The sequence below is a fragment of the Homo sapiens genome, chromosome 16 (genome assembly GCF_000001405.40).
Source record: "Homo sapiens chromosome 16, GRCh38.p14 Primary Assembly".
Classification (NCBI taxonomy): Eukaryota; Metazoa; Chordata; class Mammalia; order Primates; family Hominidae; genus Homo; species Homo sapiens.
In genome coordinates, this window is record NC_000016.10 from 65,040,831 (window position 1) to 65,055,715 (window position 14,885).

Here is a 14,885-nt window from a genome sequence, read left to right on the forward strand (position 1 = left end):
TATTGGCCACATATGATGTTTTGTTGCATGCATAGAAAATGTAATAAGCCTTTTAAAGGGTACAGTGTTTGCTGGTATGTTGTAAAGTTGTGCACATATCACCAATATCTAATTTCAGAACACTTTCATTACTCCCCAGAAGCAACCTCATAGCCATCAGTAGCTACTATTTTTAGAACATATTTTACTAACCAACATCCTGGTATTCTTCAAGGTCTAAGAACTCTTCTCTAAAGTCCACAGTGAACTTTCTCCTGAACTTACAGCCAGCGCCAAAGTGCTGGGCAATTGTGTAACACTTTGGAGTTCCTGGATTGACACCTGACATCTTCCTGGCCTTCCCAAATAGACAGTATGTTCTTGGAAAGCAACAACCATGTTTTCCGTATTTTCTTTCTCCTCCAGCACCTCAGCTCAGAGCTGAACACACAAGTAGGTGCACACATGGGTACCAACTGATTGACCAATCGCCACCTCTTCCAAAGACCAGCACATTTGTCATCTGTCTGCTACTCTGAATTCTGGTGCTTCCACAAGCTGTGAAGAATAATCATGTTCCATGATTATTCTCTCCATAGTATGTGCTGTTAATTTTTCATCTTAATGAACTGTCCAGTCGAGTGTAGCAATGGGAATAGTGATAAAAGCACAATAAAAAATGTCTTATGCCTTGATACTGTCAGAAACCTTTTCCCTACAACATCCGCACATAATTGAAATAAAATATCTCAATGGCTACAAACACCATTTGTCAAGAATAAAGTGGATTAAGTGCTATTTCAAAAATTCATACTAACAGGCTTCATAAACATGGATTATTGGAATGTTCTTCTGATTGATACCTACTCAAGCATTTTAAGCGCATGGCTTTTATTCTCCGCGTTTGCTTGAGTGAAACCACTTTGGGTACTGAACTACATGTCAGCCCCAATTTTCCAGAGTATTACAGATGCACAGACTTTCCTGCTGGGAGATGGGTCAGGCAAGCCGGAGCAGGCCCAAAAGGCCCATGCTAATGCACGGGCAGGGAAACCATTATGCAGCTGTTGGCTTCCCCAGAGTGGAGTGCTCCAGGCAATGATGCCCCTCAAATCTGAGTAATGGTCCAGGAGGAACTCAGAGAGAGAGAGAGAGATGTCTGAAGATTCTGCTCATCCCAGCAGTGTGGAGGAGCCCAGGCTCCAGGCTTCTGCCCCAAACATACCAACCATCATATTCCTGTCAACTCATTAGGCAAATGCTTAATAATTGGCTATTGGTGTAGTCACATTGGTTTAGTCATTAATTCAAGAAATATTTAGAGTGCTACTAGTATGGATGGCGCTGCCCTTGACATCCAGGACGTAGGGGTGGGCATGGCTGAACAAGTCTCTAAACTTCACAGGGCTTAGAATCCCATGGGGAAAACAGACAATATAAAAATCAGCCATGAAATGAAATAGACATGGTATTTGCTAATTGTGATTGCTGCTGTGAAGAATTAGACACAATGAGGAAGTGTCCAATGACTACAGGGTGGGTGGAGGATATGGCTTCAGAGGTTGTGAAGTCAGGAAAGGCCTCTCAAAAGGGAGCATTTCAGCTGAATCCTGAAAGGTGTGTGAGGAGACTTCCAAGACTGAGAGAATAGAAAATGCAAAGTCCCTGGGGTTAGAAAGGGCTGGGTCTGCTCAAGGGGCAGCAATTGTCAAATGCAGCTGAGCAGATGCGCAAAGAGAGAGGTAGGGAATGACTGTCTCAAGGAGAGCATTGGCAGCAAAATTTGCATCTGGATTTTATTCCAGTTAAAACAGGACGTCAATAAATAGTTTAAAATAAGGACCGTAGAGAATTGCAAGAAAACCCCCACTTCACTCCTCCCTTGGACCTTATTCCATCCTGCTACAAATTAAATCTTGACCTGTCTTCCCTCCATCTGGTATTTTTCATTCAACTTCTGATCCTGACAGTGATTTCCACTGGCTTTTTCATCTGCACCTGAATCCTCCCTCTCCAAATCTATTGTGGACAGACATTCCAGCCCCTGTTCTCCTGCCTATCCTAAGTTCCTTGTAGCCCCAACTTCACTCTGGGTCCTTCTCTAACAGGGTGGGAAAACCTTTCAGACACTGCTACTGATTTCCTGGAAGCAGTGTTTACTCTGCAAAGCAATCAGCAGGGCTCTGGTGATGGGAGGCTTCTCTTGCTACTCCATGTAAATGCTGAGGTGACCAGAATGCTCTGAAAGTTGCATAATTTTAGTGCAGAAACAGGATTAATATCTGCCTTCAGAGTAGAAGTAATTTAAGTTCCTTGTAACCAGAGGTCCTTTTCTGTCTTGTTCACCACAGTATCTTGGTACCTAGTACAGTGTTTAGCATCCCATGAATAAGCATTCAGTGAAAACAATGGAGGAACAAATGAATCTTGTGTATTCATGCACAGACATAGGAAGGCTTGTTGCAAAATATTTAATAGAGTTTGTCACAGGTTGGATTATCTGGGACGCTGACTCTGAGATGGAGTTTAGCATGGGGATGTTTACTAGGGGGTACCCTTTGGAATAACACCTGGAGAAGAAAAGGAAGGGGAATCAGAAACAAACATAAAGAGAAGATGTGTGATGCAGCCCAGCAACAGCCTCAGACCACCCTGCATGGTCATCTGGGCTAAAGATCATCCTTCAAAATAATCCCAAGAAAGCTGAGATGGCCAGACTTTTACTGATCAGCCCTCCAATGTGAGCTGCCCTGGAAAAGAGCATGACTTTGGCTGAGGTGAAAGCTGCAAGTGAAGTCACCTGCCAAGAGCATTCCCAGTAGCTGAGACCACCAGATCTTCAGTGAACTGGGGAACTGGGTGGTGCATTGCAGTGTTCAGTGCAGAAGCAATTCTACCCATGTTGGGATTTCCTGTTTCTTACTGTTCTTGATGCTTCCAAAAAAGTTAAAAGGAATGAAGCGATCTCTGCCTTAATTTAGGTTTCTTGTCCTGTGGTTTGATAGAACATTGGCATTGGTCTTGGGGGGAGGGGAGGAGTAGAATCCTGGCTCTGCCACATATTACGTGTGACTCTGGGCAGGGGACAACTCTGTTTTCTAGGCTCTGCTTCACCTCTTTGGGCCTCGTTTTATTCTTCTATGGAATGGGGCAGCTAATGTTGATCTCAAGAGATCAAAGTGGATAATGCACAAGGAAGGTCTCTGCAGTTTAAAGTGCTGTGCAGAAAAAGGGAGGAGAGGATCTTGTCCCTTTTGAAAATGGATGAGCAGCATTAGCCTAAGAGGGAGTGCCTGCCAAAGCTCTCAGCAGCAGAAGGCAGGTGAATGGAGACCATGCTCTTATTCCTGCGAAAGCCTGTTCACCACACATGAGTATGCATTCCACACACTCCAATAGATGGCATGGTATTACACAGCCAAACTCTATTCTCAAGGATTTAACAAACTTGAAGACAACTAATTGGCGATGTGGTAACCCAGCAACATCAGTGTGACTTCTCCATTAGGAACAGTAGGCACAGTGCCCACAACACATTTAGAGGATGCACAGAAATGTTTTATTTTCTTTTAAAATCAGAAGAAAAAAATGACCTTTTAGGGTAGAACACTATATTCCTCTTTAAACCAAAATGGTCATAAACTGTAATTTTTTTTTAATGGAAAAGGGGGCTCATGAAGATACATGTACCCAGGACCCGTGGAAGTGATAGACACTGAGGAATCAAGGCACTCTCTATACAGAAGGAAAAAGGGACAAACTATCTCACAGGGTCTAGGAGCCCCTGCTGGAGGAGAAGATGCTTCTCTGCTCACTCGGACAAATGGGGGAAGAGAAGAAAAATGTGTGCAAGGGAATTGAGGTGTCAAGCATCACAATGCATTCAGGGGCTACCAGCAGCACAATATGGACAGAGTTAAATGGGAGGGAGGGGAAGGGAGGCTTCTGGGAGTTGGGCCTGGATCAAATCAGTCTTAGAATCCAGGCAAAGGACTTAGCAATTTATCCTGAGAGGGACTGCAAGCTTCTGAAGCTTGGGTTTTATACTGAAGCAACTTGATACAATTTGGATTTAGAGAAATAATGCTGCGGCTCAGTGGAGAAGGACTGGGGAAGAGAGAATAGAGCTGGACATGCTTTCATGAGCCTGAGCTCCAGCCTCCCTGGTGGGGGCTTGTGTGGGCACCGGTTCCATCCCACACTGTGTGGGGGCTGGCACGGCAGGGACGTGTGCTCCGGCTGAAACCACTAGCAAGATAAAACCACACAAAGGCTTTTGCTTTCCTTTCCCAAAGAATGATGTAAATGGTTTGGGGCAATGAATCACCATCCCCCTAGGTCCATCTTTCAAGCAGAAATTCTGAAAAGTGTTTGGGAGTGTTAAGAGGTCCAAAATAGTATGTTATAGACAGAAATATGATACTTCAGGAAACTTGCTAGACATTCATTTAAAGAGGTATCTTCTCACAAGCCCTTGCAAGAATGTGACCAAGTTTTTAAAAATTTGTTTCCCTCAAAAGTATATATATATATATATATATATATATATATATATATATATATGAACTGTTGCTATGGCAGCCTAACAGCTTTTGGAATGGTGCTTAAACTGTAAAAGAGCCCCTAGAAAAGATAAACTCACTAGCCCTGCCACAAATTTTCTAAAGCTTCCAAATGGTGGCATCTGTCAGGTGTCTGGCTACAGTCTTCTAGATCCTCAGCAGACACAATTAATTGGTGGCAGATTTTAGTATAGCTCGTTCCCTTTACTTCCCTGATTTATCTAATTGCCTTGAGCTCTGAGTCCCCCACTGCACAAAGGATAATTTGGGTTAGTAGCCAGGAAAGGAAATGTTAATTCTGTGGCTCAAGAATCACGTAGGGACAGAGAGTACAGGCGGAGTCAGTAAATACGTGTTTAATGCATGAATGAATTAATGAATGGCCAAGAAGTAATTCCTTGGAGATTCCACTCCACCCCTCTCAGGTTCAGCTACTTTCTTTGGCTGAGACTGTCTTATTTGTCTGTCACCCAGTAGATCCTAGGGACCCAGTCTGCAAGGAGCATGCACATGTCTTGGCCCAGAGCATAAAATAGTACCAAGGAGGCTTTCAGGAATTATTTGATGAGTTAGTGAATGAATGAATACCAGAAAACAATCCTCTTAGGCCCAGAGCACATGACTACAAAATCATAAGACACTGCCTTACTAAGTTACTTCCTGCTTGTCATGCTGTTCGAAGTCCCTCTCACTTTGAGTACAAACTATCCCTTTCCATGTAACGCAGGGAGGAAATGCACAGGTAACCTGAGCAATGCTCAGGCGCTTTGATCTTTCAAAGGAGAGAATCCTATACCAGCCTTTGAGATGCCGTGTTGACTCTGACAAGCTGAACAGAAGAGATAATGCTGTCTATATGGCTGGTTGTCGGAAATGAAGTGATTAGATTTCAGTTGGATTGCCTGTTACCACCCTGGACCACAGGGCCCGGAAGGCAAGTGTGGAGAGCATGCTCACCTGCCCAAGAAGCGCTTGCTGAGCACTTGAGGAGGCAGAGAAAATCCTTTCCCAAAGATCAAGTGGCCCAAAGAGGGGCACCTCCAGCCATCTCCATCCTAGGGATGGATCCCCATCCTGGGGGTGGATTTGCTGCTTATGGGCATCTCAGGGAAACTGACAATGAGAGGAACACATTATTGATTTCGAGAACATCTTATGTTATCTCAGTAAATCAATGCTGGGGAGAGGAACTGCACTCTGGTCTCCAGGTAACTGACATCCAAGCTGTACCTTGATTAGGGATTAAATTCATAAAATTGTTGCATAGAACATGGCAAAATGATTTTTTAAAATTCAGTGTCTCCTGATGAAGTGTTCATAAGAATTTATTGTGTTATTTGGGCAACTTTTCTGTAGGTTTGGATAGTTTTAAAACTTAAAAAAGTTTTAAATCAAATGAATACAAGCAAAACAAAGGGAAAAACTTAATACATTTTTCCTTTTAAAATTAAGGTGGCTGGGCGCGGTGACTCAGGCTTGTAATTCCAGCACTTTGGGAGGCCGAGGCGGGCAGATCACTTGAGGCCAGGAGCTCGAGACCAGCCTGGCCGATGTAGCAAAACCCCATCTTTACTAAAAATACAGAAAATTAGCCAGCCGTGGTGGCATATGCCTGTAGTCCCAGTTACTCTGGGACTGAGGCTGAGGCATGAAAATCGCTTGAACCTCGGAGACAGAAGTTGCAGTGAGCCAAGACTGCACCACTGCCCTCCAACCTGGGTGACAAAGTGAGACTCTGCCTCAAAAAATAAATCAAGGTGTAAAACAGGGTTTACAGCTGGATGTGATCTATGTATACAAATGTGGAGGAAGTAGCTATATGGATGTGTGTGTTTGCAACTGCCCAGAAACTGTCTGGAAGTCACACAGAAAACTGACAATAGTGGCTTCCAGGGAATGAGATTGAACGCCTAGAGTATAGGAATTGAAGAAGACTTAATTCTCTGTAGACTCTTTTTCACCTTTTAATTTTTTTTGTTTGTTTTTGGTTTTTTTTTTTAGATGGAGTCTTGCTCTGTCACCAGGTTGGAGTGCAGTTGGTGCAGTCTCAGCTCACTGCAACCTCCGCCTGCTGGGTTCAAGTGATTCTCCTGCCTCAGCCTCCCGAGCAGCTGGGACTACAGGCACGCACCACCATGCTCAGCTGATTTTTGTATTTTTAGTAGAGACGGGATTTCACCATGTTGGCCAGGATGGTCTCGATCTCTTGACCTTGTGATCTGCCCACCTTGGCCTCCCTAAGGGCTGGGATTACAGGCATGAGCCACCATGCCAGGTCTCACCTTTTAAATTTTAACCGTCTTTATCTATTTTAACCATCTTAACTGTTTAAATGTATCTATCTAAGGATACATAAAAATAAAAACAAATATTTCATGGGACATCCCACCTAGTAATGACAAATACTGACTTAACAACTTCTGTACTGTTCCCTTTGCCTGGAAAATCCTTCCCGGTTTCTCCTGATAAATCCCTACTCATGATCAAGTCTAAACCCAGAGGTCACCTCCTCACTGAAGCTCCGCCTGATTTCCTCCAGCAGAAGTCAGCCCCTCTATGTTCTCACAGATCCATGGAGCTGTCTAAAAGGAACTCTGTACCATGGTTATTTGTTTGCCAGCCTGGCTCCATCACAAGAAGAGGGGTTCTTTGGAAGCAACAGTACGGTTCCATTGTTGTATTGATACACATGATTTATTATTGTATCCCCAGCACCTAGTCCAAAGCCTAACATAGGGATGGTTCTCAAGATGACTGATGAGTAAACACATCCAGAGTCTTTTCTCCTCTTGCCATTTTTGCCCCTCACTCACTGGATACATTCAGTCACCTCGCTGCATTAGCCAGAACCCACTATGTCTCCTTTAAAACTCAAGTGGAGAGCAGAATGTGAAGAAAGAGGAATGTGTATACACTGTTAGTATGAATTCAAATTAACACAACCTTCGTGAAAACAGTGTGGAGATTTCTCAAAGAACTGAAAATAGGGCTACCTTTCAGCCCAGCAATCCCACTACTGGGTACCTATCTAAGGGAAAAGAAATCATTATATCAAAACGGAACCTGCACCCATGTGTCTATTACAACACTATTCACAATAGCAAAGTCATGGAATCAACCTCAGTGCCCATCAAAAAATGACAGGATAAAGAAAATGTGGCGTGTGTGTGTGTGTATATACATATATATGTGTGTGTAAAATGTGGTATATATGTGTATATATGTGCACATATACATATATACACATAAAAAAGAATGTAGTGTGTGTATATATACGTGTCTATATCTACATATATATACATATGTATATATGTGTGTGTATATGTAGATATAGACATATATATTTATGTGTGTATATATGTGTATCTATACACACATACATTATCTCTATACACACATATGTATGTAGAATATATATATACACACACACAACGTTCTTTTTTATGGCTGTATGGTATATCACGAAATACTACACAGCCACAGAGAATATTACACAGTCATAAAAAAAGAATGAAATCATATCTTTTGCAACAACATAGATGAAGCTGGAGGCTATTATCCTAAGTGAAAAAACTCACAAACACAAAATCAAATACTGCATATCCTCAGTTATGAGTGGGAACTAAACAATGGGTACACATAGATATAAAGATGGCAATAATAGACACTGGGGACTCCAAAAAGGGAGGAGGAGGGTTGAAAAACTACTTATTGGGTATAATGTTCATTATTTTGGTGATGGGTGTACTAGAAGCCCAAACCTCACCATTATGCAAAATACACATACAATAAGCATGTACATGTACCCCCTGAATCTATTATTAAAAAATAAAAAAACTCAAGTAGAGATTTAGGACATTGCCATACCAAAATAACTGTAATAATAATTGCCCTCCAACTCCCTCCCATCCCAGCTTGGTTAAGACTGGAAGTCAAGGTACAAAAGAATTGGAAGAGACATTATCAATAGGAAGCACTACAGTGCTGTGCTTAGGAATGGAGACCCTGTCTCTACCCATCGCTCATCGGTGGTCCTCAGCAAGTTCTTTAACTTCTCTAAACCTCAGTATCCTCATCTATGAAAGAATCATGACCCCTGCGCATAGCAGCCAAAGTCTTGGTGACGTCAAACAAGATAATAAATGTAAAGCACATATCACAGTACCTGGTACAAGGGCATGCTCAGAAAATATCAATGTCATTGACCTCTTTGCCCATCACTAGCTAAATAAAGCAAGATCAAAGAACACAACTTTGGTTCAGGTTTTTCCTTTAGTTATGATTTTGCACAGGGACTGGATGTTCAGGTGACCTACCACATAAGGGCTTCATGTAATCATTAGTTGATTGTGGTGATGACAGTCACATTGTACACATTGAAGAGCTACAATGTGTAGGCAACAAGTGAACCGAGTGTCTGTTTATGATTCTGATGACACCAGATACAGACAGACACTTGGCCTCCTTCTCCACAGTGGCCTACATCCCAAAATAGGAAATACACATTCACAGACAGACCCAGCAGCACAGAGAGTTAGGAAGCAGGTTGCTAACACTTCAAGCTGTCAGGGACAATGCAGAGCCCGGTGGGTTCTGCAGCACAGGTGAGCTGCCCCAGAAGCAGCTTTCTGGGATTCACTCCTATGCAAATGAAAGATAACTGGGTGACCTGCGACCAGCAATTCCTGCTGGTTATTACTCAGCAGGATGCCAATGTGTGTACACTTCTCTTGAGCAAAGGGCAAATCTCTTCCACTTCTCCAAGATGTTCATTTCTAGGCCCCTGTGCTCTACTGAAAACCCAGCAAGGTCACAGGGCTTAGAAGCCTTATCCTGTAGCTGCCCAGAAAATTCCTCCTCTGTTCCTAAGTAAGACATGTGTGCTAGAAACGGAAGCTCAAGCTCCAGTGGATTTCACTGTAAGTTAACTAGAGTGCCGATCCTGTGAGCCCATGCCACATTTGTTTAAAGCCTCTCTCCGTCTTTCCTTCCCACTTGGATTTTGACTGCTATATGCAGTTACCTGACCATAAACTCCTTGAGGAAAGAGGAAGTGCCCTTTCATCTCTGCCTGCCTTTGTGGCATGTCATAGGTGCCTGTTCAAGAAAGTCTGGCATCTTGACCTGTTTGGGAATCAAGAATCTGAGTCTCAGCTAAAGTCATTGGTTAGTTTTGTTCTTCAAAATCCTTACAGTGCGATCAAGAACAAGTCCTTTCCTCCACCAGGCACAGAATTCTTTTCCATCAAGAAGAAGCTTAACCTGAAAAATCAAAGGATTGTTCCATCTGCATTCCTGCTGTTTTATGTTTTGTTTTGTTTTTTAAAGGTTTCATGCCACCAGCCTTGGAGTAATTTACCTTCCTCTCCTTGGAATAAAAGCTTTGCAGAACTCTTCAAAATAGACTGTTCTTAATTTCCAGGTTAAAAAAAAAAAAACTACCAGATTTCCTAGACATGAAATTAAATTCAAGTACTTTCTATTTAACTTTTGACTCTGATTCATTGACACCTCATTCTAATTGCCCCTATTATCTAGAAAAATAGGAAATGTCACTCGCACATCTTATTGAGGAATTCAAAGGGCCGATGAAATGAAGAGCCCCATTTGGCTCAGCAGAAATGAGATGATCATCATTCACAGACATATCCACAGGAGGGATGCACTTCCTCTGCTGAGCCAGGCTTCGGAGCAAATGAGTGCAAAATAAGCAAATGCAAGAGGAGTCAGTCCTACAATTTCCAAATCATTCTGGTGCGTTTGTAGGGGAGTGCGATTTTGCTTCTAGGATAAGCGTTTTCAATCATTGGTTTATTCCCTTAACAAACATTGACCAGACAATGAGAGAAAGAGGTGGGGACTCCTCACGTTGAAATGTCCTCCCAAAACAGACCCACATTAACACAAGAGTGTAAAACACCTGAGAAATTATCAGAAATGTATAGTTCCCAGTCACAGGGGACTACCATCTATTTAACAATAGCTTGTGTGGGCTGCAGGAAAAGCCCCTGGCCTTATGTGGAGGTAATGTTTTTTGCCCATAATATGGGAGATTCATTCAGGAGAAAGGCAGACAAGGACAGTGGTAAGACACAAACTCTAGCTAAAGTTAGACTTCCCATAAATACAAATTCCAAGGATAAAAGTTATAGCACTATGGCCATAGACAAGTTACTTATCTTCCCTGATATGCTTTGGATCTGTGCGTCCACCCAAATCTCATCTCAATTTGTAATTTCCATGTGTGGAAGGAGGAACCTGTAATCCCCAAGTGTGAAGGGAGGGAGGTGATTGGATCACGAGGGCAGTTTCCTCCATGCTGTTCTTGTGATACTGAGTGAGTTCTCACAAGATCTGATAGTTTTATAAGGGGCTCTCCTCCCTTAACATATGCTTCTCTTCTCTCTTCTGCCACCTTGTGAAGAAGATGCTTACCTCTCCTTCCACCATGATTCTAAGTTTCCTGAGGCTTCCCCAGCCATGCAGAACTGTGAGTCAATTAAACCACTTTCATTTATAAACTACCAGTCTCAGGAAGTTCTTTATGGCAGTGTGAAAACAGACTAATACATTCTCCAAGATTGAGTTTTCTCATTTATAAAATGTTGGATATTAATAATACCTACCACATAAGGCTTTTGGAAGGAGTAAGGGGAGTGATACACTTAACATCCTTAGGAACCTGACATATAGTAAGCATGCAAAACCTGTTAGCTGCTGTTATTATGACTTTTCTCTGTTAGTCACCTTAGTCCACCTTCCTCACATTTAATTAAAAATATACTGAGGGTCCCTATTCATTTGCTTAGTAAGTACTTACTAAGTGCATACTTTGGCCCAGATACAGTACTTGCAACTGGGAGCACAGTGGTCCCAAATAAGTCCTGTCCTCAAAAATCTCTAGGTCTAGCTGGGAAGACAGACAACTAAAAAGGCAATTACAGTCCAATGTAGAAATCACAGTAAATGGTGTAATCCCTGGCTGCTAAAGCATTGTCTAGGTAATCTTAGGCTATTAGAAATAGCTCCTTAGAGATAGTGAAGTCCAAGCTAAGATATAAAATGCCTTAAGAGTGCTTATGAGGTGAGAGAGATTATGAGGCTTTGGGGGAAATAATGGCTGTGCCTTATGAGGAGGTCCTAGAGTGGATGTATATAATACAGGCAGGGTGGAGAGGGAATACCAGCTGAGAGATGAATCTGGACAGCAAAACAGTGGCCCTTCCCATTAAAGGATCCTAGAAGCTTGTTAAGAAAAGCTTATCTCTATCATTGAAAGGAAATAAGTGGGAAAGTACAATATGTACGGATTTAAGAACATTGTTCAGGATATACATAGATAATGGATCACGTTGGAGCTGATAAGGGAGAAATAACCCTGGAAGCAAAAATACGTAATAGGTGACAATTTCAGTAATATTAGAGAAAAAACATTTGACTTGCATTTGAACGGTGGCAATAGGGATAGAGAGAAACAAAACTATTTCAGAGATAGCCAAATGATAGAATGAATAGGAATCAAGAGGAATTAACTGCTATTGGAGGTGAGGGGTTGAGAGGCTTAAAGTATTCCGTCCATGTTTCTATTCTGGGTGAATTTTGATACTATTACAGGAATGTGGGACCCAGGAAAAACCTGGATTTGACGTACATATTTAAGTCACCACTGGACATCTACATGGAGACGAGCCGTAGGCACTTGGATAAGAAGGTCTAGATTCCCCAAGAGTGGAAAGTCACACTGGTAGAATTAATTCTTAAATTTCTATCTGGATATTTAGTTGTCTCCTGTGAATATTGCTCCAGTTACCACCGAGCAGATGGAGAAGGTAAATGGATTCGTAGAATCCTAAAATGTAAGAACTGTTAGAAATCCTAGGTCCAGCCACCCTGGCAGTCCAGTAAATGGCTTATTAATCCCATAGCACAGACAGTGAATGGCAGAGCTAGGTCTGGGTGTAGAAATCAGGCCTCCTGGCTCGTGATCGAGGGCCATGTCATTTGAAGTCTAAAAGGTTCAGCCTCCTAGCAATCTCATTTCCTTGTGGGACATAAGCTACCTTGTTCCCATTTTAAGACTTATTTCAAAAGAAAAGGGGAAAAAAGCAACATGGCAATCATCTCAGTTGGCCTGTTCAGCCGGGTCCTTGCTAAACAATTATAATCCCTTTAGTTCCTTCTTTCTCCTCCAGATCTTACTATTACTAGCACATAATAGGTGTTCAATAAAGAGAATCCAATAACATCAACACTGAATAATCACATTCCTCACTACCGAAAAACGTAGGCCTTTCTCTCCCTCTCAGATTCTACTTTTGGCTTTAGTGAAGGTCCAAATCAAGCCACATTTGAGACACAGACCCAGTGGCATACTTTCCATCTTGACATACATAGTAATATGTGAATTGTTCAGTAATATTAGTCCAACTTACCTTCTTCACCCATTGGATACTTGCTGCCAATTTCTGTAACACACTCCACCCATCTGATTGGTCACTCAACAAATGACAACACGAAGGAATGTCACAGGGCCGCTGAGCTGAAAACACAGTGATTTCTGCAAAAAGTGAAAGGATCATTAGTAACCTAGTGGTGCCATGAATTGACCAAGTGATACAGTATTAAACACAGTTGCATATGACAGACTTTTCTCTTAGAAGATGACAATCCAGGTGTGCAAAGAGAGAGAGAAACAAATTACTAAAATTACGTGAAAAGTGGGAAAAACTTGTCATGGATTTATAAGTACCACCGGATAGTGTGATTAACCATACATGCGTTTCGTACTTTGATGACAATGATAAAAGCAATCCTACACACAACTTCTTATAACATGCTGTGTCATTCACATACATTTGCTCTTGCATGAAGAACAAGCTATTGGGGGAAGGTATGAAAACTTAGAGCCCATTTCTGATAGAACCTATGTTCCAAAGCCAAAGCAATGTCTTCCTTCCTAAAGTGAGAAGCACCGTTCTGGTGTTGACAGATCCTCTTGAACAACAGGCTCAAGGATGAAGAGTAGCAATAGCAGTGGTGGTAATAGGAGATACTATCCCCACTCCAGCAGACCAGAGCATTGGGCTGACAGTGTTGCAGCTCTTCAAGATTGCATTTCCCCTACCCACAACACCACGTTTTAGACTTTCTGTGTCTAAAATGGGGGCTGTGTTCTGCTTGGATTCTGGTCTGATTCATCTTCATATCTCCCAAAATGTCTAACACATTTCCTAGCCCAGAGCATCTGTTCAATGCATATTTGTTGAGTGAATAAAGAAAGGAATATGGAGTGTCTAAACAGCTGTCATCTTTAAAAACTGAGGCACTGAACCAAGAAAGGTGCCAGCTGGCATAGCTTCCATAACACAACAGCATAAAGGAGTTCTTGAATGTCCTTCATCTCTAGGCTTCTACCTTCTAGGATCAACTCAGCCTGCATTAGGGGCTTAAACAGCTTATTTCTTTGACTTGACTTCATTTCTTTCCAAATCTCTTTCCTTGTTTGATATTGCTTCCATCGAACACCATACACAAAGCCTTCTCCAAAACAACAAACAAGCAAACAAAAGCCCTTTTTAGTGAAGGGATGTGGATGGACCTTAGATCTACTAAAATTTGTTCATAGAGCCTGGTTTTGGTGACTGTAGCAAGATGAACAATAAAGCTGTCCTCTTGTGTGCTATTTATCCAAATGTCAGGACAGAGTAACACTGGAGTTATTCCTGGAGATACAGGGAGTCATGGAGGAAATGCTACATGCAGCAGTTCACACAATGCATAACGAATGAGGAAGGACCCTGCTTGTCAACCATGTTACATGCTGTGGCCAGTCTCTAAAATTACCCCACAATAACCCAGACACTCTGATAGGCATGCCCTTGTGCAGTCTCCTTCTATGGGACTATGAGCTGGCTCTGCATAACAATGAAACAGCAGAAGTGACACTCTGAGAACCATGGGAGAGGGACCTCCACCCTGGTCGGTCCAAAAGGCAAAGCATTGAACCAAAGAAAATTACTCTTGAGCCTTAAGATTCAGCGGTATTTGCCTTTTTATGTAAACTTGCTTGGAACACATCACTACTTTCTTTTTTCCAATTTCTCCCTTTCAGAAAGGGAATGCCTATCCTACACCTGTCCCACCACTGTATTTTGGAAGCACATAATTTATCTTATTTCATAGGTTCACAGCTGCAGACAAATGTTGCCCCAGGATGAACAGTACTTTAAATCTCATCCATACTGATTGTGTCTCAGAATGAATAGTATCCTGCGTTTCACCCATACTTATTTAGATGAGAATTTGGACTTTAGACCTCAGAATTTATGCTGAAACAAGTTAAGA

The 14,885-nt window shown here is 42.1% G+C and overlaps 1 protein-coding gene across 4 annotated transcripts in view; it reads right to left on the reverse strand.

Moving 5' to 3' along the window:
- The window catches only part of CDH11 (cadherin 11), a 179,992-nt gene that overhangs the window by 97,078 nt on the left and 68,029 nt on the right, over positions 1–14,885 (reverse strand). For all 4 annotated transcript variants that reach the window (XM_047433486.1, NM_001330576.2, NM_001797.4 and 1 more), the window contains exon 2: positions 12,974–13,098. The gene's annotated coding sequence lies outside the window, so the exon portion shown is untranslated. The remainder of the gene's footprint in view (positions 1–12,973; positions 13,099–14,885) is intronic.